The sequence below is a fragment of the Homo sapiens genome, chromosome 1, assembly GCF_000001405.40.
Source record: "Homo sapiens chromosome 1, GRCh38.p14 Primary Assembly".
In the NCBI taxonomy this organism is placed as follows: Eukaryota; Metazoa; Chordata; class Mammalia; order Primates; family Hominidae; genus Homo; species Homo sapiens.
Genome location: NC_000001.11, coordinates 153958853 through 153981150, shown reverse-complemented (window position 1 = coordinate 153981150; position 22298 = coordinate 153958853). Strand labels below are relative to the sequence as shown.

General features: G+C 50.7%; 3 protein-coding genes, 1 long non-coding RNA gene and 1 other non-coding gene across 22 annotated transcripts, besides 18 other annotated features; 3 read left to right on the top strand and 2 right to left on the bottom strand.

Moving 5' to 3' along the window:
- Positions 1 to 1990: 1990 nt before the first annotated feature.
- JTB-DT (JTB divergent transcript) lies at positions 1991 to 3408 on the bottom strand. Its single transcript, NR_186180.1, has one exon. It is a non-coding gene; the product is annotated as a JTB divergent transcript (long non-coding RNA).
- Positions 3004 to 3298: a silencer, noted in NCBI's record as "tiled region #11874; K562 Repressive DNase matched - State 1:Tss". NCBI's record gives its function as "represses a minimal TATA promoter and a strong SV40 promoter by Sharpr-MPRA in K562 cells {active_cell/tissue: K562}" and the evidence as "EXISTENCE:reporter gene assay evidence [ECO:0000049][PMID:27701403]".
- Positions 3307 to 3356: an enhancer, noted in NCBI's record as "active region_1770". NCBI's record gives its function as "activates an Ori minimal core promoter by ATAC-STARR-seq in GM12878 lymphoblastoid cells {active_cell/tissue: GM12878}" and the evidence as "EXISTENCE:reporter gene assay evidence [ECO:0000049][PMID:35858748]".
- Positions 3358 to 4006: an enhancer, noted in NCBI's record as "H3K27ac hESC enhancer chr1:153949621-153950269 (GRCh37/hg19 assembly coordinates)". NCBI's record gives its function as "activates a minimal SCP1, AML or CMV promoter by ChIP-STARR-seq in primed H9 embryonic stem cells {active_cell/tissue: H9 hESC(primed)}" and the evidence as "EXISTENCE:reporter gene assay evidence [ECO:0000049][PMID:30033119]".
- Positions 3477 to 6882, top strand: JTB (jumping translocation breakpoint). Its single transcript, NM_006694.4, has 5 exons — positions 3477 to 3981; positions 4138 to 4175; positions 4376 to 4458; positions 5246 to 5325; positions 6316 to 6882. Exons 1-5 carry the CDS (start codon positions 3899 to 3901, stop codon positions 6470 to 6472), a joined length of 441 nt encoding a protein of 146 aa, NP_006685.1. The 5' UTR covers positions 3477 to 3898; the 3' UTR covers positions 6473 to 6882.
- Positions 3587 to 3636: a silencer, noted in NCBI's record as "silent region_1348". NCBI's record gives its function as "represses an Ori minimal core promoter by ATAC-STARR-seq in GM12878 lymphoblastoid cells {active_cell/tissue: GM12878}" and the evidence as "EXISTENCE:reporter gene assay evidence [ECO:0000049][PMID:35858748]".
- Positions 4656 to 5305: an enhancer, noted in NCBI's record as "H3K4me1 hESC enhancer chr1:153948322-153948971 (GRCh37/hg19 assembly coordinates)". NCBI's record gives its function as "activates a minimal SCP1, AML or CMV promoter by ChIP-STARR-seq in primed H9 embryonic stem cells {active_cell/tissue: H9 hESC(primed)}" and the evidence as "EXISTENCE:reporter gene assay evidence [ECO:0000049][PMID:30033119]".
- Positions 6792 to 13664, bottom strand: CREB3L4 (cAMP responsive element binding protein 3 like 4). 12 transcript variants are annotated; one of them, XM_024453343.2, is made up of 10 exons: positions 13267 to 13664; positions 12452 to 12629; positions 11975 to 12221; positions 11696 to 11817; positions 8315 to 8407; positions 8073 to 8179; positions 7888 to 7956; positions 7687 to 7771; positions 7435 to 7531; positions 6792 to 7279 (listed from the first exon to the last, which is right to left on the bottom strand). In XM_024453343.2, the coding sequence occupies exons 2-10, from the start codon at positions 12623 to 12625 to the stop codon at positions 7086 to 7088; spliced, it is 1188 nt and encodes a 395-aa protein (XP_024309111.1). In that variant the 5' UTR covers positions 12626 to 12629; positions 13267 to 13664; the 3' UTR covers positions 6792 to 7085. The 12 variants fall into 12 exon arrangements, 11 of the variants coding, with proteins under 11 accessions (XP_024309111.1, XP_047302783.1, XP_024309112.1 ...); XM_047446827.1 differs by having other exon boundaries at positions 12512 to 12629; XM_024453344.2 differs by having other exon boundaries at positions 13389 to 13664.
- On the top strand, positions 12967 to 22041 carry SLC39A1 (solute carrier family 39 member 1). 7 transcript variants are annotated; one of them, NM_001271960.2, is made up of 5 exons: positions 12967 to 13067; positions 17448 to 17554; positions 18404 to 18622; positions 18801 to 18931; positions 20397 to 22041. In NM_001271960.2, the coding sequence occupies exons 3-5, from the start codon at positions 18436 to 18438 to the stop codon at positions 21051 to 21053; spliced, it is 975 nt and encodes a 324-aa protein (NP_001258889.1). In that variant the 5' UTR covers positions 12967 to 13067; positions 17448 to 17554; positions 18404 to 18435; the 3' UTR covers positions 21054 to 22041. The 7 variants fall into 7 exon arrangements, with proteins under 7 accessions (NP_001258889.1, NP_055252.2, XP_047273964.1 ...); NM_014437.5 differs by lacking the exon at positions 12967 to 13067 and adding an exon at positions 13426 to 13765; XM_047418008.1 differs by lacking the exon at positions 12967 to 13067 and adding an exon at positions 13426 to 13765 and having other exon boundaries at positions 17448 to 17656.
- Positions 12983 to 13102: an enhancer, noted in NCBI's record as "active region_1769". NCBI's record gives its function as "activates an Ori minimal core promoter by ATAC-STARR-seq in GM12878 lymphoblastoid cells {active_cell/tissue: GM12878}" and the evidence as "EXISTENCE:reporter gene assay evidence [ECO:0000049][PMID:35858748]".
- Positions 12983 to 13963: a biological region, named in NCBI's record as "H3K27ac hESC enhancer GRCh37_chr1:153939664-153940520".
- Positions 12991 to 13492: a silencer, noted in NCBI's record as "fragment chr1:153940135-153940636 (GRCh37/hg19 assembly coordinates)". NCBI's record gives its function as "represses an EF-1alpha promoter that drives an FKBP-Casp9 reporter gene in an ReSE screen in HepG2 liver carcinoma cells {active_cell/tissue: HepG2}" and the evidence as "EXISTENCE:reporter gene assay evidence [ECO:0000049][PMID:32094911]".
- Positions 13107 to 13963: an enhancer, noted in NCBI's record as "H3K27ac hESC enhancer chr1:153939664-153940520 (GRCh37/hg19 assembly coordinates)". NCBI's record gives its function as "activates a minimal SCP1, AML or CMV promoter by ChIP-STARR-seq in naive and primed H9 embryonic stem cells {active_cell/tissue: H9 hESC(naive and primed)}" and the evidence as "EXISTENCE:reporter gene assay evidence [ECO:0000049][PMID:30033119]".
- Positions 13133 to 13242: an enhancer, noted in NCBI's record as "active region_1768". NCBI's record gives its function as "activates an Ori minimal core promoter by ATAC-STARR-seq in GM12878 lymphoblastoid cells {active_cell/tissue: GM12878}" and the evidence as "EXISTENCE:reporter gene assay evidence [ECO:0000049][PMID:35858748]".
- Positions 13453 to 13672: an enhancer, noted in NCBI's record as "active region_1767". NCBI's record gives its function as "activates an Ori minimal core promoter by ATAC-STARR-seq in GM12878 lymphoblastoid cells {active_cell/tissue: GM12878}" and the evidence as "EXISTENCE:reporter gene assay evidence [ECO:0000049][PMID:35858748]".
- Positions 16827 to 18026: an enhancer, noted in NCBI's record as "BRD4-independent group 4 enhancer chr1:153935601-153936800 (GRCh37/hg19 assembly coordinates)". NCBI's record gives its function as "activates an origin of replication core promoter dependent on BRD2, P300/CBP, MED14 and CDK7 cofactors, and independent of BRD4, by STARR-seq in HCT116 cells {active_cell/tissue: HCT116}" and the evidence as "EXISTENCE:reporter gene assay evidence [ECO:0000049][PMID:35650434]".
- Positions 16827 to 18330: a biological region, named in NCBI's record as "BRD4-independent group 4 enhancer GRCh37_chr1:153935601-153936800".
- Positions 17238 to 17517: an enhancer, noted in NCBI's record as "active region_1766". NCBI's record gives its function as "activates an Ori minimal core promoter by ATAC-STARR-seq in GM12878 lymphoblastoid cells {active_cell/tissue: GM12878}" and the evidence as "EXISTENCE:reporter gene assay evidence [ECO:0000049][PMID:35858748]".
- Positions 17376 to 18330: an enhancer, noted in NCBI's record as "H3K27ac-H3K4me1 hESC enhancer chr1:153935297-153936251 (GRCh37/hg19 assembly coordinates)". NCBI's record gives its function as "activates a minimal SCP1, AML or CMV promoter by ChIP-STARR-seq in naive and primed H9 embryonic stem cells {active_cell/tissue: H9 hESC(naive and primed)}" and the evidence as "EXISTENCE:reporter gene assay evidence [ECO:0000049][PMID:30033119]".
- Positions 17558 to 17727: an enhancer, noted in NCBI's record as "active region_1765". NCBI's record gives its function as "activates an Ori minimal core promoter by ATAC-STARR-seq in GM12878 lymphoblastoid cells {active_cell/tissue: GM12878}" and the evidence as "EXISTENCE:reporter gene assay evidence [ECO:0000049][PMID:35858748]".
- Positions 17878 to 17937: an enhancer, noted in NCBI's record as "active region_1764". NCBI's record gives its function as "activates an Ori minimal core promoter by ATAC-STARR-seq in GM12878 lymphoblastoid cells {active_cell/tissue: GM12878}" and the evidence as "EXISTENCE:reporter gene assay evidence [ECO:0000049][PMID:35858748]".
- Positions 17978 to 18047: an enhancer, noted in NCBI's record as "active region_1763". NCBI's record gives its function as "activates an Ori minimal core promoter by ATAC-STARR-seq in GM12878 lymphoblastoid cells {active_cell/tissue: GM12878}" and the evidence as "EXISTENCE:reporter gene assay evidence [ECO:0000049][PMID:35858748]".
- MIR6737 (microRNA 6737) lies at positions 18731 to 18800 on the top strand. Its single transcript, NR_106795.1, has one exon. It is a non-coding gene; the product is annotated as a microRNA 6737 (primary transcript).

Here is a 22298-nt window from a genome sequence, read left to right as displayed (position 1 = left end):
TTATTCATTTATTTTTAGGGACAGAGTCTTGCTCTGTCTCCGAGGCTGGAGTGCAATAGTGCGATCTCAGCTCACTGCAACCTCTGCCTCCTGCCTCAGCCTCTCAAGTAGCTGGGATTACAGGCGTGAGCCACCATGCCTGGCCAATAGTCAGTTAATATAGCCCTTTGGTGGTACTTACAAGCAGAGGGACAAGGACTTTTTTTCTTTTTTAAGACCGAGTGTGGCTCTGTCGCCCAGACTGGAGTGCAGTGGCACGATCCCAGCTCACTGCAACCTCTGCCTCCCGGGTTCAAGCGATTCTCCTGCCTCAGCCTCCCGAGTAGCTGGGATTACAGGCACGTGCCACCACACCTGGCTAACTTTTGTGTTTTTAGTGGAGACAGGGTTTTGTCATGTTGGCCAGGCTGGTCTTGAACGCCTGGGCTCGAGTGATCAGTCTGCCTCAGTCTCCCAAAGTGCTGGGGTTACAGGCGTGAGCCACTGCGCCCAGCCTGGGACAAGCAAACTTTAACAAAAACAGCTCTTTGGCTGGGCGTGGTGGATCACAACAGGAGTTCAAGACCAGCCTGGCCAGCATAGTGAAACCCCGTCTCTACTAAAAATACAAAAAAAAAAAAAAATTAGACAGGAGTGGTGGAGGGCGCCTGTAGTCCCAGCTACTTGGGAGGCTGAGGCAGGAGACTCACTTGAACCTGGGAGGCAGAGGTTGCAGTGAGTTGAGATCACACCACTGCACTCCAGCCTGGGTGACACAGCCAGACTCTGTCTCAAAAAAACAAAAACGAAAACAAAAACATCTCTTTGCTGAATAACAAAGATGGCAAAACTACTGGAAATGCAAAAGAAAATTCAGGCTTGGGCCGAGCACGTTGTTTCATGCCTGTAGTCCCAGCACTTTGGGAGGCCGAGGTGGGTGGATCACTTCAGGTTGGGAGTTTGAGACCAGCCTGGCCAACATGGCGAAACCCCATCTCTACTAAAAATACAAAAAAAATTAGCTGGGCATGGTGGTGGGTGCCTGTAATACCAGCTACTTGGGAGGCTGAGGGAGGAGAATCGCTTGAACCTAGGAGGCAGAGGTTACTGTGAGCAGAGTTCGCACCATTACACTCCAGCCTGGAGACAGAGCGAAACTCCATCTCAAAAAAAAAAAAAAAATTCAGGCTTGATGCACAGCATCCTTAAGTATATATATATTATATTATATTATATATTACAATGTATAATTATATATATTATATATTAAATATATAGGAAATATATAATATATATAACATGTATATGTTTATAAACATATAACATATTATATATAATATATAATTATATATTATACATATATATTAAATATATATTATAATTATATATTTAATATATAATATATTATGTTTAATATATAATTATATATAATTATATTATGTTTAATATATAATATATAATACATATTTTAATACATAATATATATATATCCCCCTTTCACCATACATAATATTTTTTACACAGCAAAATGTAATAACTTGATAAATGTAAGTATCCAAGCATTGATGAGGTAATGATAAACCTTATTTGTGGCTTATGCTTAAGTTCTTTTTTTTTTCTTTTGAGATGAATTCTTGCTCTTGTTGCCCAGGCTGGAGTACAATGGTGTGATCTCGGCTCACCGCAACCTCTACCTCCCGGGTTCAAGTGATTCTCCTGCCTCAGCCTCACGAGTACCTGGGATTACAGGCATATGGCACCATGCCCAGCTAATTCTGTATTTTTAGTGGAGACGGGGTTTCTCCATGTTGGTCAGGCTGGTCTTGAACTCCCGACCTCAGGTGATCCGCCCACCTCGGCCTCCCAAATTGCTGGGATTACAGGCGTGAGCCACTGCGCCCAGCTGTGTTTGAGTTCTGTAGTAAACTGTCCGGTAGGTTTAATTTGCTCAAGCGATGAGGAAAAGACTTGCACTTTGTGCCTCCTGGGAAAGAGACTAACGTCTTCAACATACCTTATGGCAGATATTTAATTTCAGAGTAGAGACCCCACTCTGATGCCTGGTAAGGTTATTGGAAGTGAAATATCACAAGATCTTACAGTTTGTTGTGAGATAAGGTAGGATTTGGTGAGGAGTAACAAATACTAGCAGATTTCGGCCCAAACTTCAATTATAGCTAAACATTACTGGAAAAAACCCCACAACCTACTTTATGTAACATATAACTACTCACACACATACACAAAAATAATACACACACAATTTCAGCAAACACAAATAATAATTTAAAGAAACAAATTCAAAATTAGAGCCAGGTATGGTGGCACATGCCTGAAATCCCAGCTACTTGGGAGGATCCCTGAAGACGAGAAGTTCCAGGCTGTAATGCGCTATGATGGCTCCTGTGACTTGCCACTGCACTCCAGTCTGGCAACATAGCCAGAGTCCATCTCGTTCAAAAACAAAAACAAACAAACAAAAAACGGCGAAATGAAGGCTCAGCCCTCATCAGGTTTAGGTGACAGAGCTAGACCCTGTCTAAGAAAAAAAATAAAATTAAATGAAAATTCGTTATCAGACAGTAAAGCATGAACCCACAGTGCTGGTCAAGTCACTGCAGATCTGAGTGTGTATCAAGGTTTAACTCCATAAGATGAAAAGCAGGCAATGAATCTTTGGCCTGGGTGTTGACAGTCTAGGCTCAAGCCTCAGCTTTCCCACTCATTAGCTTGCTGACCTTGGACAAGTCACTTATATTCTCTGAACTTACTCATGAAACGGAGATACATTTCATCTGCCTCTCGCAAGAAAAAGTCCTGGTAAATACACATTAGCATTTCCGTTTTACACAGAACACTGACAGATACTTTCCTAAGATCATGGAGTTAATAACCACCAGAACCTAGACTCAATACTTATGGAACTTCAAATCTCATGCTTTTCTCATTGCACTTATGATTACTCCATTATGTAGGAGCAAGGGAGAGTTGAGAGCATTTGAAGAGGTTATGCAAAGGACCAGCTCTGAGGAGTAGGCTTAGCAAAGTAACATGAGGGAAGGTAACACCGTTCATCTGTGTAGCGGAGTGGGAGCCAAGAGACAAGGAGAAAGTTTCATGTTCGTCATGTGTCTCGGATATTCCGGTTTCTGCAGGGACGAGAACGCGCAGTTTCGCCTCCATCCCTTGACCTCCAACACAGCTTCTCCACTGGATCATCGGTGGCGATGAAGGGGCGGCTGGGGAAGGATGTCAGAGAAACCAGAAGCTTGACGGTGAATCCTCGGGTTTTAAGGAGAGAGCAAAGTCCTGAGAGGGCGACGTATTGTCCCTGCTCACCTAGCCCAGAATGAACAAACACGCGCCAGCCAGGGAGCAGCGAGCCGAGAATTCGGACGAGCCTCTGCAACCGCCATTTGCCGTTCTCGCAAAGACTACCAAGACCACAATGCAACGGGGCGCCGAGCTAATTCCCAGTGAGCAGCAGGCGAGGCGCCACCGACGCGGAAGACTATAAGCCCCAGCGGGCGACGACCGAACGCCCCCGGGAACACCGGGCCCCGAGCTCGGTCCCGCGCCCGAGGATCCTCCACGGGGCTAGATGGCTGCGTCGGGGGCGGGAGCGGAGGTGAGCGGGCGCTAGGGCCGCGAGCCCCCGCCGGCCCTTCCTCCAGCGCCCTGCGGACCCCGCAGAAGGCGCTCGCCTCCCTAGCCCGCAAAAACATATCGATTTTTCTCGCTGTGGCAACGGGGACGTCCTGATAGATCCTCTGCTCCAATAGGCAACTCCGGCCTTCCCTGCCCTGACCTGGAACCTCTGGGAGGGCTGCAGAGTAAGTGCCGCCTCTGCGCTCCGACGGAGGCACGAGGCCTGTGGAGTAGGTCCCTCTGTTCCGACAGGTGCGACACTTGGCGCTCCATGCTTGCGGGTGCCGGGAGGCCTGGCCTCCCCCAGGGCCGCCACCTCTGCTGGTTGCTCTGTGCTTTCACCTTAAAGCTCTGGTAAGGAGGAGGTAAGGGGAGGGAAAAGGAGGTCACTGGAGGACAGGATCGTTCCCGGCCTCGGGGCTGGGGGAGATCTTATCCATGGACAGCGCAGGAGGGGGTGCCCTATTTTCTGGGTTTTGACTTTTGTCCCTTCCCCCAACTCCGCTACAGCCAAGCAGAGGCTCCCGTGCAGGAAGAGAAGCTGTCAGGTGGGTGATTGTCTGGGAACCCGACACGTCCCGTCGTTTGTTTTTGGTTTTAGTATCTTCCCCATATACCAAGAGCACAGGTGGAAAAGGCCGGCACCACATGGAATGAGGGCAAGCGCTGTGCCGGGAAGTTGGATGGGCAGAGCCTGGGAGAAATGTTTTCTGAATGGCCTGGGGCTGGCATTTATCTTTCCTTTCAGCAAGCACCTCAAATTTGCCATGCTGGCTGGTGGAAGAGTTTGTGGTAGCAGAAGAGTGCTCTCCATGCTCTAATTTCCGGGCTGTGAGTATCTATTTCTCTACCCTTTTTTTTTTTAAACATCTAAGCAAACACTTAAGCAACATCTTAACATCCAAGTCTTATTAAGCTGCCTTTGCATCATCTTTTTTTCTTTCTTCTTGCAGTCTCAGTGTATGTCCAAATCTGTACTTGTCTTTCCCCTGAAAATGTGCCCCTTTCTTTCCAAGCTAATGGCAGTATTCAACTGATAACTATGGTTTTTTTGTTTGTTTTTGAGACGGAGTCTCACTCTGTTGCCCAGGCTGGAGTGCAGTGGCGAGATCTCGGCTCACCACAACCTCCGCCTCCCGGGTTCAAGCGATTCTCCTGCCTCAGCCTCCTGAGTAGCTGTGACTAAAGGCGCGTTGCACCATGCCTGGCTAATTTTTGTATTTTTAGTAGACTCGGGTTTCACTGTGTTGGCCAGGCTAGTCTCTAACTCCTTACCTCGTGATCTGCCCGCCTCGGCCTCCCAAAGTGCTGGGATTATAGGCGTGAGCCGCCACACCCGGCCTCAAATAACTATGTTTTATTCACTTTTAGTATAGTAGGCTCTGGAATGGAATGTATCTTTGCCACTCCTAGACTGTTGCCCCTGAAGTGTTCTAACATACATTCGTAATCATGCAACCACCACCTCCACCATCCGCATCAGAACTCTTTCATTAGCTCTCTGTTGCCTACCACTCCAAACCATAGCAGTTGGGCACCTGCACCTTCTGAATGGCAGCCTTTTTGTTTATCCTGTTGCCCCTTCCTAACATGTACTTTGCTCCTTTTCTCCTGGCAGAAAACTACCCCTGAGTGTGGTCCCACAGGATATGTAGAGAAAATCACATGCAGCTCATCTAAGAGAAATGAGTTCAAAAGGTGAGTGCTGTTTCTCTTCTCTGAGATCACCTCCTTTGCTCCTATGACTTTAGATGGATGGTCCCACCTTTTCCCCTGGTCTGGGGGTAGCATGGAATATCTGAAAGAAGAGGGGGCCGGGCTCACACCTATAATCCCAGTACTTAGGGAGGCTGAGGCTAACAGATCACCTGAGGTCAGGAGTTCGAGATCAGCCTGGCCAACGTGGTGAAACCCCATCTCTACTAAAAATACAAAAATTAGCTGGTGTGGTGGGTGCCCATAATCCCAGCTACTTGGGAGGCTGAGGCAGGGAGAATCACTTGAACCCAGGAGGCAGAGGTTAGAGTGAGCCAAGATCATGCCACTGCACTCCAGCCTGGGCAATGGAGCGAGACTGTGTGTCAAAAAAAAAAAAAAAAAAAAGAGGCTGGGAGGGGTGGCTCACGCCTGTAATCCCAGCACTTTGGGAGGCCGAGGCGGGTGGATCACGAGGTTAGGAGTTCAAGACCAGCCTGGCCAAGATGGTGAAACCTCATCTCTCTTAAAGATACAAAAATTAGCTGGGCATGATGGCGGGCACCTGTAATCCCAGCTACTTGGGAGGCTGAAGCAGAAAACTGCTTAAACCCGGGAGGTGGAGGTTGCAGTGAGCCAAGGTCACGCCACTGCACTCCAGTCTGGGTGACAGAGCGAGACACCATCTCAAAAATAATAAGAAAGAAGACGGGATTTGGAGCCAAATTACTTGAACCCAAGTCCCAGCTCTACTCCTCAGCACTATGTTATTGGCCATATTTTCTCATCAGTAAAATTGGTTAATACTAGCTCTGCTTATCCAGAGAATAAATTAAATGATCTATTTGAGAGGGATTTATGTACTATACACACAATAGAAGCCTGGCTCTGATTTCCTCTTGAGTGTATCCTGGCTAGGCTGAAGTAGAAGGGAAATTAGAGGGAGAAGCTGTCTGGCCTTCCTTGGGAATAACTATTCCTTCCTGCCCTCAGCTGCCGCTCAGCTTTGATGGAACAACGCTTATTTTGGAAGTTCGAAGGGGCTGTCGTGTGTGTGGCCCTGATCTTCGCTTGTCTTGTCATCATTCGTCAGCGACAATTGGACAGAAAGGCTCTGGAAAAGGTCCGGAAGCAAATCGAGTCCATATAGCTACATTCCACCCTTGTATCCTGGGTCTTAGAGACCCTATCTCAGACAGTGAAAGTGAAATGGACTGATTTGCACTCTTGGTTCTTTGGAGCCTTGTGGTGGAATCCCCTTTTCCCCATCTTCTTCTTTCAGATCATTAATGAGCAGAATAAAAAGAGTAAAATGGTTTCCTTCCCTTCTGTAACTTGGAGCAGGAAGTCATGGGGGCAGAGAGGGAAAGGAGGTGGTTACTTAAGGCCCCAATCTACCAAGTCTTCCCCACCACTTCTCCCTTGTTTTCCCCCTCTTCTACTACTTATTTCAAACTTCTGGGATACAATTTCAGCTAAAACGTTTATTTCTCACTCAAAACTTATTTCCCCTCAACCCTATACCCAAAGAAGAAATAAAATCACAGATACATAACAGAAGTATTTGAGGTACCCTCTCATATATGCAAACAAATGCAGACTAGGCCTCAGGCAGAGACTAAAGGACATCTCTTGGGGTGTCCTGAAGTGATTTGGACCCCTGAGGGCAGACACCTAAGTAGGAATCCCAGTGGGAAGCAAAGCCATAAGGAAGCCCAGGATTCCTTGTGATCAGGAAGTGGGCCAGGAAGGTCTGTTCCAGCTCACATCTCATCTGCATGCAGCACGGACCGGATGCGCCCACTGGGTCTTGGCTTCCCTCCCATCTTCTCAAGCAGTGTCCTTGTTGAGCCATTTGCATCCTTGGCTCCAGGTGGCTCCCTCAGTCTGGACTCTACCACTTGGGTCTCCAGATTTTCTGTTACGTCCTTGTGGGTCAGGATATTTCTGGAAGTCACTGTGAGGTGAAGGCAAGAGGGCAGTAGTAGAGTGCTCCCCTGGGTGGGAGACCCTAGACAGGACAGGACCTCCCTCTTGCTTCTTGACGACCTTGGAGAACAGAGTCCCCCTCCCTTGCTCAGCCAGGGGTTGCTCCCTGCCCTTGCCTCTCACCTCCGTGAGGCTGGTAATCCTCAGACCCAGCTTCTGGTCGACTCTGGAATGGACTGAAGCTGGGCAGGATGATGAGAGCCAGGGAAAAAAGAAGAATCTGGGAGGAAGCAAGAGGAACAGATGAAGGGAGCAGGGGGTAGAGTGAACGGAGGCCAGCTGGGGTTATCGGATGTGGGAAGTAGATCTGGCCGGGTAGTCGGGGTATAAGGATAGAAGTGTGGGGGGAGATGGGAGTAGATAGACTAATGGTACCAAAACACAAGTGCTGGTCTGGGCAGCTTTGTTGGAAGTTTGAGCAATTAGCGTCTGCAGCTGGCGGAGCTGAGCTACCAAGGAGCTGGGAAAGGAGGAATGAAGAGTTAGTATCATCTGGGTACCAGGGGCCAAGAATGGCACCCCTGTGTGCTGTACCTGCCTTCAAAACACACATACACACACAATGCTTTCACTCACATGTTGTGCCTCTCCAGCTCCTGGACTTTTTTCTGTAATTCTTGGTTCTGTGCAGAACAGGCTGCCACCCTAGAATGTAGGGAGGTAGGACAAGGCTCAGCAACCTGAGTCCCTTACCTTGCCTCCCATGGTGAGGAAGGGGCCCAGACATGGCCCACAAGAAGCCAGAAATAACCCAGGCGTACCTGCTCTCCAGCCCATCAATGTACTCCTTCTTCCGCCGCCGACTGTCCTGAGCTGACTGCTTGTTACGGATTTTCCTCCTGACCTTCTTGAGGACCCTCTCCTCTGCCTTGGAGGCCCAGGATGTGTGAGTCCTGGGTCCTTCACCTGCCCCCAACTCCCCAATGCTTCTCCTGGGATATTGGCCCCTCAGAGGTCATGGTGAGGCCCCTGGGTTGGGATACCCTTAGGGGAAGCATGTTACCTTGGTGAGGGGCAGGTGAGAGGGCAGGGAAACCCCTTCCTGCCCCAGCAGACGCTTCTCCTCATCGGTCAGGAACAGGGTTTGACAGGGCAGCTGGGGGTAGGGGCAGGAGAAGATGCAATAGGAGTGAGGAGGGGGTCATCCCATTTGCAGCACCCAGGCTACTCCCCCCACATGCCTTCTGGAGAGTGTTTCCTCACTGGGAGACAACTTTAATCTAGAGGTGAGGTGAGGGGCAGAGACTTTAATTCAGACAGGCTCTAGATCAAGCCAAAGGGACATCCTGAGGCCAAGAAGGGAGAGAGGAGGGTATTGTCATATCCTTCACCCAGACACTGAGGACCTTGGCACTCTGAGCAAGCTAGAGAAGGCTTATTCTGGTCCATGTCTCCCCATACCCAAGAGAACCTGAAAGAACTCACTACAGTGAAGTTTGCATAATTTCCTTACAGCAAGCACATGATTCACTTTCAGTCATTAACTTCCATTTAGCAGAGTGTGTTATCCAGTTGCCCGTCAACCTCAGGGAGCTCCCTGGGGCAGTGGCCCATTCTCCCTTAGGGTCTGAGCTCTGCTTCTCAGACTCAGGTTCTGTCCCCTCTCATACAAGGAGCTTCCCAAAGGCAGCCATACGTCTCACAGCAAATCACAGGAGAGGATGTACGGAGAGTGGATGGCCCTTCTCACTAGTATTTCTTTTTGAAAGATGTATGTGGCCGGGCACAGTGGCTCACACCTGTAATCCCAGCACTTTAGGAGGCCAAGGTGGGCAGATCACCTGAGGTCAGAAGTTCAAGACCAGCCTGGCCAACATGGCAAAACCCAATGTCTATTGAAAATACAAAAATTAGCAGGGCGTGGTGGTGGGTGCTTGTAATCCCAGCTACTTGGGAGGCTGAGGCAGGAGAATCGCTTGAACCCGGGAGGTGGAGGTTGCAGTGAGCCGAGATTGCACCACTGCACTCCAGCCTGGGCAACAAGAGCGAAACTCCATCTCAAAGAAAAAAAAGATGTATGCTTCATTTTGTGACTTACAGAGAATTTACTTTGGTTTTTGCCTGCTCATGGTTTTTGGCTTTTGGCAAAACCATTTCCTGTGTGGCTTTTCCTGATGTGCCTTTCTTGTTCCTGTGACTGTTTGGTGGAACTATTAGAGGAGTGTCTCTTCCAGTCCACCTAATCAAAATCACTGAAAATGAGGCCTAGAGGGTTTCATTTAAAACAAACAACAAAAAAAAAAAAAAAAAAAGAAAAAGAAAAAGAAAACAGAGTGGCCAAGGTGGCTCACGCCTGTAATTTCAGCACTTTGGGAGGTCAAGACAGGAGGATTGCTTGAGGCTAGGAGTTCGAGACCAACCTGGGCAACATAGTGAGACTGTCTCTACAATAAAGAAATAACAAAGCATTTACAAACACCATGGTGCTTCTAATGTATACCCAAACTTAGGGGCATCAGACTTTTTTTTTTTGAGACGGAGTCTTGCCCTGTCGCCCAGGCTGGAGTTCAATGGCGCAATCTCCACTTACTGCAACCTCTGCTTCCCGGGTTCAAGCGATTCTCCTGCCTCAGCCTCTCGAGTAGCTGGGATTAAAGGCACCCGCCACCATGCCCAGCTAATTTTTGCATTTTTAGTAGAGATGGGGTTTCACCATGTTGGCCAGGCTGGTCTCGAACTCCTGACCTCGTGATCCGCCCACCTTGGCCTCCCAAAGTGCTGGGATTACAGGCATGAGCACCGCGCCCGGCCGGCATCAGACTTTTAAAGGTTCCTCAGCTCAAGATTCTAAGATGTTGGCCGGGTGCGGTGGCTCATGCCTGTAATCCCAGCACTTTGGGAGGCTGAGGCGGGCGGATCACAAGGTCAAGAGATCAAGACCATCCTGGCCAACATGGTGAAACCCCATCTCTACTAAAAATACAAAAATTAGCCAGGCTTGGAGGCGCACACTTGTTGTCCCAGCTACTCAGGAGGCTGAGGAAGGAGAATCGCTTGAACCTGGAAGGCAGAGGTTGCAGTGAGCTGAGATGATGCCACTGCACTCCAGTCTGGTGACAGAGCGAGACTCTGTCTAAAAAAAAAAAAAAAAAAAAAAAAAGATTCTAAGATGCTTAGCTTGGCTTCTGGTCCCAGCTTCAACTGCAGATTTGAAGAGAGGCTAGGACCTGGTCCCTGCCTTTTGGGTACAAGGAGTAATTTTCAGAGGAAAGGGAGGAACAGTGATCTGAGCATAGTCCCCTCTTTACCCAGCCTTGGACGCTGCCCAGACGGCCTTGAGAAGGCATCTAATGTGATACCTCTGCTACACTGTAGCACTAGCCAGTGGGTGCCTCCTGGGCAACTGTTCCAGTGGAAACATTGCTGCTATTGCTTTTCTTTCTTCCTGTACCTATAACCAGTTGGGATTCCCAGGTGGCCTGTCCCATTTCTGTGTCCTGACCCAAGGCTGAGATAATGGCTCTGGCTAAGAATACAATGCATGCAAAGTCTGGGCTTTCTCCTGAGCCCTGTCCCCAGATTCCCTCACCCCACCTTAACTGAGTTTTTGCTACCTTACCCCCAAGGGTTCTTTCTCCCTTGTCCTTCCCTGCTTTTAAAATTGTTCATGTTGGGCCAGGCGTGGTGGCTCACACCTGTAATCCCAGCACTTTGGGAGGCAGAGGCAGGCGGATCACAAGGTCAGGAGTTCAAGACCAGCCTGGCCAATATGGTGGAAACCCGTCTCTACTAAAAATACAAAAATTAGCCAGGCATGGTGGCAGGCACCTGTAGTCCCAGCTACTTGGGAGGCTGAGGCAGGAGAATCGCTTGAACCCGGGAGGCAGAGGTTGCAGTGAGCTGAGATGGTGCCACCACACTCCAGCCTGGGTGACAGAGTGAGACTCCGTCTCAAAAAAAAAAAAAAAAAAAATTGTTCATGTTAGTCGGGCACAGTGGCTCATGCCTGTAATCCCACCACCCTGGGAGGCTGAGGTAGGCAGATCACTTGAACTCAGGAGATTAAGACCAGCCTGAGCCTGGGCAACATGGCAAAACCCCAAAACCCCATCTCTACAAAAATTAGCCAGACGTGGTGGCACACACCTGTAGTCCCAGCTACTCAGGAGGCTGAGGCAGGAGGATTGCTTGAGCCCAAGATGTTGAGGATGCAGTGAGCCGTGATTGCACCACTGCACTCCAGCCTGGATGACAGAGTAAGACCCTGGCTCAAAAAATAAAAAATAGTTCAACTGTTCATGTCTCCTTGGTCTTCAGGCCCAATGCCACAAAAACCGGGGCAAAGGCAGTTCATCATCAGTTTCCATTCCCTCATCCCTTTGCTCTGTCTGTGTGATTATATATGTATCAAGGAGTAGTGGTTCTGGCTGACACCAAGACTCACCAGGGTTGTACAGGGCACTGGGGCTACGGTGCCTGCTCTGGGCAGGATGTGGGCATGAGCATCAAAGGGCAGCTCACTGACCATGCAGGAATCAGGCACCATAAATGCTGGGCTCCACTGATCTGGAGTAGAAAACAGGTAGCTGGGAGAAAGGAGACTTAGGAACACCCTGACAGCCGCAGGGCCTGGGTAGTGGCACAGGTTGGGTAAACCCCCTTAACCCCATGGTTAGGGCCAGTCCCGAAGGGCCATTTCCCCCTTCCCACAAAGAACACTGACCTAGCTGGATGGAGATAAGGCCTACATTTGGCCCAGTTTCCCCCTGCATCCTCTCCAGGGCCCCTGCCTCATAGACAACCTCATAGAGCATAGGAGAACTGGTTGCCCTGGGGGCAGGGGGACTGTCTGGATGGCAGGGGTCCTCAGAGATGCCACTGTCACTGCCAGGAGATGCTTCTGAGCAGTACACCTCATTGGGATCAATGAAAAGCTTCAAGAAATCTTCAGGCTCACTCTCTTGAAGGCCCTACAGTAGGAAAAGGTTATATATATGTGCAGGGAAGAATTTTGGAAGTCCTCCCTGACTTATGCTTCATTTTCAGTCCTTTCACTTCTTGGGCATGGAGACAGTTATTATACAACTTACGTCTATTTTGGGGGTGGTCTGTTTTCAGACCTGTCTCCAAGTGGGAGCTGAAGCCTCTTATCACAGAGTTGTGTCTCAACCCCACCCCCACTCCCACTCGTCACACTCACACAGCCACGGTCCCCACCGGACTTCCAGCCTTGCAGTCCCTGTTCCTGTAGCCTAGTTACCGGAACCTCTGGAGGGGGGCAGTGGAGTCCCAGCTCCAGGACGGATCCTGTCGAGAAGATATCCTCTGGGGGCTCCAGCCACGCGTCCAGCAGGTCAGGGATTCCGAGATCCATGCTTCTGCAGGAAGGCGTGTGGGACGGAGGGTTGCAGAAACGGAATGATGGCTGCTTACTACCCCCTACAGTTTCTGGGCTCCTCTGCTCCCTTTTCCATTATCCCCGCCCCCCCACTCCTTCCTCACTAGCAAGCCCCCTCACCTGTCCCCTCGATATTTCACCTTCAGCCCTATCCCTCAGGTTTAGACAAAGAGGCCCCCCCCAAGCATTACCTGTTCTGAAGAGCCCAGCCCTGTCAAGCCAGCATAGCCCGTTGACCTCCCCAAACACTACACCTTTTCTTTCTTCCAGGATCTCGTATCCTGGACCTGCCAGCCAAACCCCGCCCCCAGCCTTACACTACAAAAGTGGATGCCACCTTGCCAGGAGCCACGGTAGGGCCGCTGTATCTGGGAGTAGGGGACTAAGAGTCTGAGGGTCCACAAACGGAATTTAAGAAGTAGGTAGCCGCGCCCTTTCTGCTGCAGTTTTCTCTTAGCTATAGTAAATCTTCCTGAGGGTTTGGTGTCTCCTAGCTGAAGAACAGAAAAGGCTGTGACTGGAGCACAGGACTCCTGAATGCCTGTTCTGTAGCCCTCGCTTTTGCAAGAGGGAGATCATGGCAGGGTTGTAAACAAAGGCGGAAAGAGTCAAGAGACCTGCGAATTTACTAGGGCATCCCCTCGCCCACCGCGTGGCGCTCTTCCCAAAGCTGAGTCCTGATTGGAAGCTGAAGACTTAGGTTTCGGAGGGGCAGGACATCGAGCCAATGGCACACTACCCTCTCAAGGCCGCCTCTTCCGTAACTGGTCGGAGACAGTTTGGCTGTTCAGGAGAGTCAGGCCAATGGGGCCGCAGTTCTTTCTTTTTTTTTTCTTTATTCTTATTTTTGGAGACAGGGTCTCGCTCTGTTGCCCAGGCTGGAGTGCGGTGGTGCGATCACGGTTCCATGCAGCCCCCGACCTCCCGGGCTCAGGTGATTCTCCCGCCTCAGCACCGCGAGCAGCTAGGACCACAGGCGCGAGCCACTGCGTCCGGCCGGCGGGACTTATTTGTCAGGCGGGGATTGGGTTCCGCCAGCCTAAAGGGAGGGGTAAGCGCCAGAATATGAATCGCCGGGAAGCTGGGAGAAAGCTCCGGGAAACCCTGAGCAGCCAGGTTTGTCTTCGCGCGCCACGTGACTCGGAAGCTCCGGTTTCACCCAGGCGGGGAGTCAACAGCCCGCTGACCCCAGTGGAGCGGTGATCCTCGCTCGGCAGGCGGCAGGAGCGCGATGGCGGGTTTCCCCGTCCGCAAGCCGAGCAGTGTGGCGTTAATGGAGAACAGCAGCTGTGCGCACACGCTCGCTGCACGCTGCTCATTCACGGAGGGACACGGGGCAGGAAAACTGCAACAAGTTAAAAAGCCTTTTGCGTTTGTTGTCTTATTGTTTGCATACAGTTACCGGGAACATTATGTCCCACACTTGTATAATTTACAAAACGTTTTCATAAAAATTGTTCTCTTCCTTAATCCATAACAGTTCTGAGGCACACACGGCGGGTAATATTTTGCAAATTTTACCTATGAGGAGGCAGATCCATGACTAGAAAGTAGTAATACCAAAACTCAGGGTTGATTGATTATTTTTATTTTTTTGCCTTGGTCTAATGTCTGATGGTCCAGGAATTCACTTCAAGTAAAACAATGGAGGTAAACTGATACAGGTATGGTTTTCAGTAGTATTTCAGAAAAGGGTAGCTGGGTGAGTAAAACAGTAGTTTGGAGTGTGAATCCCAGAACTCAAACTGCTACTAATTATCCTTATGAAGATTTGAACGGGCTAAGGGTAAAAACGGGAACAGGGTCTAGTCAGGCATTTCCATGTTACTCATATAATTCTTACAGCAGATGGAGCTGACAAGTTTGTTTGTTTGTTTTTCTTTTGCTCTGTGGCCCAGGCTGGAGTGCAGAGGCTCGATCTCGGCTCACTGCAAGCTCCGCCTCCCGGGTTCACGCCATTCTCCTGCCTCAGCCTCCCTAGTAGCTGGGACTACAGGCGCCCAGCTAATTTTTTTGTATTTTTAGTAGAGACAGGGTTTCACCGTGTTAGCCAGGGTGGTCTCGATCTGACCTCGTGATCCGTCCACCTCGGCCTCCCAATGTGCTGGGATTACAGGCGTGAGCCACCACGCCCGTCCGAGCTGACAAGTTTAAGTAACTTTCTCAAGGTTACCCTGTAAGTAGCTGAACCAAGATTTGGATGCTTCAGCCCATGTTCTTCACACTATCAACCCACCTTGTGGGGCTTTCTCAGATTTCTTATCTGTCTTTCCCGCTCATATCTCTCCATCCTGCTCAAGTAGTGAAGAGACAAAGCAGCCTTCCTAGATTGATGCAGAGCTCCAAGGAAAGCAAAGCTGTTCTTGTTGAGATCATTCTGAGAGCGAGAAAGGTGGTTAAATACATTTCAAAGGGCTTCCTGCGGGCTGTATGTGCAGAGATGATTTGAGTGGGGAATGTAGTTAGCTTCCGTTGATGTTAGAACTGGAAGGACCCTCTGCAGTCATCTGCTTGTTTAACTTCCTCCTTGCCCCTGATTTATCAAACTCTGGTGAGGAAAACTGACTTGCCTAAAATCATACATCAAGGTAAGGTAAAATTGAGGAGATCTATTGGGCCGGGTGTGGTGGCTCACACCTGCAGTCCCAGCACTTTGGGAGGCTGAAGCGGGTGGATCACCTGAGGTCAGGAGTTCAAGACCAGCCTGGTCAACATGGTGAAATCCCGTCTCTACTAAAAATACAAAAATTAGCCGGGCGTGGTGGCGGGCGCCTGTAATCCCAGCTACTCGGGAGGCCGAGGCGGGAGAATTGCTTGAAACCTGGGAGGCAGAAGTTGTAGTGAGCCAAGAGCATGCCACTGCATTCCAGCCTGGGCAACACAGCAAGACTCTGTCAAGAAAGAAAGGAGGAAAGAAGAAAGGAAGGAAGGAAGGAAAAAGAAAAGAAATAAAGTTGCCAAGAGATTTTAAATGTTCTCATCACAAATAAATATGTGAAGTAATGCATATGTTAATTAGCTTGATTTACCCATTCTGCAATGTACATATATTTCTTTTCTTTTTTCTTTTTTTTTGAGACGGAGTCTCGCTGTGTCGTCCAGGCTGGAGTGCAGAGGTGTGATCTTGGCTCACTGCAACCTCCGCCTCCCCGGTTCAAGCGATTCTCCTGCCTCAGCCTCCTGAGTAGCTGGGATCATAGGCATGCGCCACCACGCCTGGCTAATTTTTGTATTTTTAGTAGAGACAGGGTTTCACCATGTTGAGCAGGCTGGTCTCCAACTCCTGACCTCGTCATCTGCCCGCCTCGGCTTCCCAAAGTGCTGGGATTACAGGCGTGAGCCACCGCGCCCGGCCCAATGTACATATATTTCAAAACATCATGTTGTACACCATAAATATATACAATTATTAATCATATATGACATATGTATGTGTATAAATAAACAAATATATATATTTGACAACTATAAAGGTAGAACTTGGACCAGAATCCAGGTTTCCTGACCCCCCCAGTCATAATTCCTTGTTAATGTTACCAATTACGAATAATTTTTTTTTTTGAGACGAAGTTTCGCTGTTGTTGCCCAGGCTGGAGCGCAATGGCGCGATCTCGGCTCACTGCAATTTCCGGCTCCCGGGTTCAAGCGATTCTCCTGCCTCGGCCTCCCGAGTAGCTGGGATTACAGGCCCCCGCCACCACGCCCGGCTAATTTTTGTATATTTAGTAGAGACGGGGTTTCACCATGTTGACCAGGCTGGTCTTGAACTTCTGTCCTCAGGTGATTCATCCTCGGCCTTCCAAAGTGCTTGGATTACAGGCGTGAACCACCGCGCCCGGCCCCTTAAGAAGTCTTCACATTCCTCTTTTACTTAAGGAATTACTGGGCTTCGTTTCTGGAGCCTTGTGAGAAGCATTACACTGTCCCCCCTTTTTTTTTTCTTTTTTAAAATTAATTTTCCTGTAGGAAGCAAGATCCCATCTGTCCCTTCTTTAGGCAATGAAGCTTTTTTCACCTTTGCATAAAAGAACAGCTGAGCCCCCTTTTTAAATTTTCTTTTGTCTTACCGTCCCTTGAGGCTAGAAGAGGATTCTCAAGGCACAGAGTTGTGGGCCACAAGAATCCAGGTTGAGGAAACGGTGAAAGTCCTGAGCTGAAACAACTACCTTGGGGCATTCAAGGAACAGCAAACAGCAAACCGACCGGCGAGGGTGGCGGGAGCTGGGCTGGAAATCAGGTGGGAGAACCGGCCAGACGCCCGCAGGCGCGGTACGCAGATATCCTGGAATGCGCTGGGGGCTCTTCCCTGGGCGCGGCTTCAGCACCCCGCATTCCGGTCCCACCACGTCCCCACCCACCTGGAGAAGGCGGAGGCTGCACTGAGTGCCATAAGTAGTCGAGAAGGGATGATTTTCAAGACATACCCTCTCTTTGCTTTCCCCCCTTTCCAATTCTGCCTTGTCTTTTTCCTTGTTGTGGGTGCTGGTGAGGGAAAGCAGTCAAGGAAGTTGGTCCCAAGAGGGGAATGCTTTCCCTTGGGCGCCAAGAGGCACTGACGAGGTGTCAGAGCCTTCTGAGGGACAGATGAGACTTTGGCCCAAGGCCAGGAAGATGTTTTCAGATGTGGGCCGGAAGACTTGACAATGCGGGGTCTCCCTCTTTTAAAAATATCCATATAATCAAAGCCTTTGTTGACTGGCCCGCTCCGGCCCCTCAGTCCTCCACAGATGCGCCCCAGGGCCCCAGCCCCGAGGTCCTTTTCCTAATATCCGCTCTTGCTCTCGCTCACTCTCCTCAGGTCGCCTGCTCCGCCCGCTCCCGCTCCCGATCTCTGATTGCTCCTAACTGACGTCACTCCCGGTCTGTCCCCGCCCACTCGGTGCTGCCATTGGCAGTCGGTCGTGGGTACGCGGCTCCTGTGGGGGAGGGGGGAGCTATGGGAGGGGGCGGGAATTCCCGACTCTAGGCCGGAAGCGCGCGGAGACCATGTAGTGAGACCCTCGCGAGGTGAGTGCGGGCTGTCTGGCAGCGGGGTCCATGTCGGCTGCCCAGGCCTCCCCGGGCCCGGGAACAGGAGTCCCAGCTCACGCATTCTTCATCTGCTTCCCGCGACGCTTGGCGGCCTCGCACCCCGCCTCCTGGAGCCCGGACTTTCAGGCACCGCCCTCAGTGTCGCCTCAGTCCGTCCCGGGACCGCAGACTCTTAGGGCCCCTCTCTTTGGCCATCTGCCTCTAGGTCCCATCCTGGGGCCTGAAGCGCTTGTTCTCTGCGCTGGGAAAAGGGGAACGATGGAGCGATCCAGCACCCAAACTTACCCTGTCCAGGTGGCCCACGAAGCTACCCAAGACATCTCTGCACAGCCCTAGCCTTTTTGGCTTCACCCACTCCGTTCGGGAGTTGGGGACCCGGCCTCTACATTCCTTAGGGGAACTCCAGCTCCAGGTCCTATTTGGAGGCGGCTCCTAGTTTCCTAGTTTTCTGGGGGCACCAGGTGAAAGGGTGATGAGATATCCATACAGCCTTTCTCATGCCTCGGTTTCCCCCGTGCAGTCTCCCTGAATAAGTCACTTGGGAAAGAAAGTGTGAGAAGAGAGGAATGTTCCTGGTACAGGAGTAGATGAGTCACCCTGGGTAGGGGAAGGTCACAAAGTGGCTGGGGCCAGGGAGCTGCACTCTGCTGACCAAGCTTCCCCATTCCTTGCCCCATCTTCCTTTGCATGATTTTTCCCAACCACTCTGGTCTGTCTTCCTAGGTCTGAGAGTCACTGGAGCTACCAGAAGCATCATGGGGCCCTGGGGAGAGCCAGAGCTCCTGGTGTGGCGCCCCGAGGCGGTAGCTTCAGAGCCTCCAGTGCCTGTGGGGCTGGAGGTGAAGTTGGGGGCCCTGGTGCTGCTGCTGGTGCTCACCCTCCTCTGCAGCCTGGTGCCCATCTGTGTGCTGCGCCGGCCAGGAGCTAACCATGAAGGCTCAGGTAAGCCTCTCCTTTTCCCCACACTGCTATGAATGCTTGGCTTAGGGAGGGCTCTGGGGCTGGCGGGGAGTGACCAAAGGAGGAGGGAAAGGCAAGGGTAGCCATTGTTTGGGTTGGGGTGGTCGGCCCTGGAGGGGGTTTGTTTGCTTATTCCCCTCTGTGCTTCACCCCTACCCAGCTTCCCGCCAGAAAGCCCTGAGCCTAGTAAGCTGTTTCGCGGGGGGCGTCTTTTTGGCCACTTGTCTCCTGGACCTGCTGCCTGACTACCTGGCTGCCATAGATGAGGCCCTGGCAGCCTTGCACGTGACGGTGAGCACTGGCCTGGGCATGTGACTTGCGGGAGGGGAATCACACACCTCTGGGAGTGTTGGTTTGTGGAGATTGATTCATGTGCCACTCCATGACTGTGTGGAAGACTTTTGGCATGTGGTATGAATTGTGATTTTTGGTTATGGGGCATAATTCTTTCTATGTGTTCCCTCCCCCTTCCCCATTCCCTGTGTGACCCCTACATTCCCGTTGAGACAGTAAGACACTTTTTCTCAGGTGTGTGACTTGCTCTATGGGTTCTCAGTTCTAGCTACCAGCAAGTGCTCCAAGAATCATCTTCACTCTCTCACCACTTTCCTAAAGGGCTGGAGATAGAGGTCTCTGTAGGCCTGAGAAGGATAGGAAGCGATTCCCTGGGTCTTGGTGTTGCTAACCTTTTTAGGCTTTGGCCCAAGGAAGTGGGCTGTGAGGAATGATCAAGTCCACGGCATAGGACTTGGTTTATTATAGGAAAAACTGAGGCCGTTGGATAGTGGGGCAGGAAAGTCATCCTGGGCTCTTTCCTTTTTTCCTCTAAAACTGAGGAAGTAACACTGGATGTATCCCTTTGTGTGTCTGTGACTGAGTGACCTGTGTTTCCGTGTGACTGCGTATAAGCCTGAATGTCCTGTGATATGTGGCTCTATGTATGAGTATTTGGGGAGATGGGCAATGTGTGACCTTTTCATGTATGTCTACATCAGTGACTCTCAACTAGGAGTGTGGCTTTGCCCCTCAGGAAACATTTGGTAATGTCTGGGGATATTTTTAGTTGTCACAATGGGGAGGGGGATGGAGGGAACATTGTGCCTGCTATTGGCATCTGGTAAGTAGAGATCAGAAATGCTGTTAAACAATCTACAGTGCACAAGACAGCTCCCATGACAAAGAATTATCTGGCCCAAAATGTTTTTGTTTGTTTGTTTTTGTTTTGTTTTGTTTTTGAGAAAGAGTCTTGCTCTGTTGCCCAGGCTGGAGTGCAGTGGCACAATCTCGACTCACTGCAATCTCTGGCTCCTGGGTTCAAGTGATTCTCCTGGCTCAGACTCCTGAGTAGCTGGGATTACAGGCATCCACCACCACACCCTGCCAATTTTTGTATTTTTAGTAGAGACAGGGTTTCACCATGTTGGCCAGGCTGGTCTCAAACTCCTGACCTCAAGTGATCTTCCCACTTTGGTCTTCCAAAGTGCTGGGATTATAGGCATGAGCCACTGCCCCTGGCCCCAAAATGTTAATAGTTCCAAAGCTGAGAAACTTTGGTCTACACGTAACACTGTGAGTGACACCATAATCTGTGTGTACGTATCATTCTGTGTCAGTGTTACCAATTCACTCTATCTTTGTGTGACTGAGAGTAGCCCTGTGTCTGTGTCAGACCCTAGGTCTGTGTAACTGGGCTTTCACCAGATTTTGCATCTCACTCTTCCTTCCCTGAACATTTTGCTGCTGCTTCTGCCCACAGCTCCAGTTCCCACTGCAAGAGTTCATCCTGGCCATGGGCTTCTTCCTGGTCCTGGTGATGGAGCAGATCACACTGGCTTACAAGGAGCAGTCAGGGCCGTCACCTCTGGAGGAAACAAGGGCTCTGCTGGGAACAGTGAATGGTGGGCCGCAGCATTGGCATGATGGGCCAGGGGTCCCACAGGCGAGTGGAGCCCCAGCAACCCCCTCAGCCTTGCGTGCCTGTGTACTGGTGTTCTCCCTGGCCCTCCACTCCGTGTTCGAGGGGCTGGCGGTAGGGCTGCAGCGAGACCGGGCTCGGGCCATGGAGCTGTGCCTGGCTTTGCTGCTCCACAAGGGCATCCTGGCTGTCAGCCTGTCCCTGCGGCTGTTGCAGAGCCACCTTAGGGCACAGGTGGTGGCTGGCTGTGGGATCCTCTTCTCATGCATGACACCTCTAGGCATCGGGCTGGGTGCAGCTCTGGCAGAGTCGGCAGGACCTCTGCACCAGCTGGCCCAGTCTGTGCTAGAGGGCATGGCAGCTGGCACCTTTCTCTATATCACCTTTCTGGAAATCCTGCCCCAGGAGCTGGCCAGTTCTGAGCAAAGGATCCTCAAGGTCATTCTGCTCCTAGCAGGCTTTGCCCTGCTCACTGGCCTGCTCTTCATCCAAATCTAGGGGGCTTCAAGAGAGGGGCAGGGGAGATTGATGATCAGGTGCCCCTGTTCTCCCTTCCCTCCCCCAGTTGTGGGGAATAGGAAGGAAAGGGGAAGGGAAATACTGAGGACCAAAAAGTTCTCTGGGAGCTAAAGATAGAGCCTTTGGGGCTATCTGACTAATGAGAGGGAAGTGGGCAGACAAGAGGCTGGCCCCAGTCCCAAGGAACAAGAGATGGTCAAGTCGCTAGAGACATATCAGGGGACATTAGGATTGGGGAAGACACTTGACTGCTAGAATCAGAGGTTGGACACTATACATAAGGACAGGCTCACATGGGAGGCTGGAGGTGGGTACCCAGCTGCTGTGGAACGGGTATGGACAGGTCATAAACCTAGAGTCAGTGTCCTGTTGGTCCTAGCCCATTTCAGCACCCTGCCACTTGGAGTGGACCCCTCCTACTCTTCTTAGCGCCTACCCTCATACCTATCTCCCTCCTCCCATCTCCTAGGGGACTGGCGCCAAATGGTCTCTCCCTGCCAATTTTGGTATCTTCTCTGGCCTCTCCAGTCCTGCTTACTCCTCTATTTTTAAAGTGCCAAACAAATCCCCTTCCTCTTTCTCAAAGCACAGTAATGTGGCACTGAGCCCTACCCAGCACCTCAGTGAAGGGGGCCTGCTTGCTCTTTATTTTGGTCCCGGATCCTGGGGTGGGGCAGAAATATTTTCTGGGCTGGGGTAGGAGGAAGGTTGTTGCAGCCATCTACTGCTGCTGTACCCTAGGAATATGGGGACATGGACATGGTGTCCCATGCCCAGATGATAAACACTGAGCTGCCAAAACATTTTTTTAAATACACCCGAGGAGCCCAAGGGGGAAGGGCAATGCCTACCCCCAGCGTTATTTTTGGGGAGGGAGGGCTGTGCATAGGGACATATTCTTTAGAATCTATTTTATTAACTGACCTGTTTTGGGACCTGTTACCCAAATAAAAGATGTTTCTAGACATCTGTACAGTATCTGATTCGTTTGTTTTGGGAAAGGGGTGGGCATGTGGCCAGCCTGAGAGGGCCTGAGTCCCAGATGTTTACAGCTGTTTTAAGATTCTTGGTCTCACTGTTTTCACTCAGGACCCGATAGTCCCCTTCCCTGAAGATGACCTAATTTTTCCTCCTTTGTGTCTTGGTACTTCTTTCCCGGTCTCCACCCCTCGGCTTCCCTTCTCTTCCCTCCCCTCCCTCTTCCTTTCTTCTCTCTTCAATCCC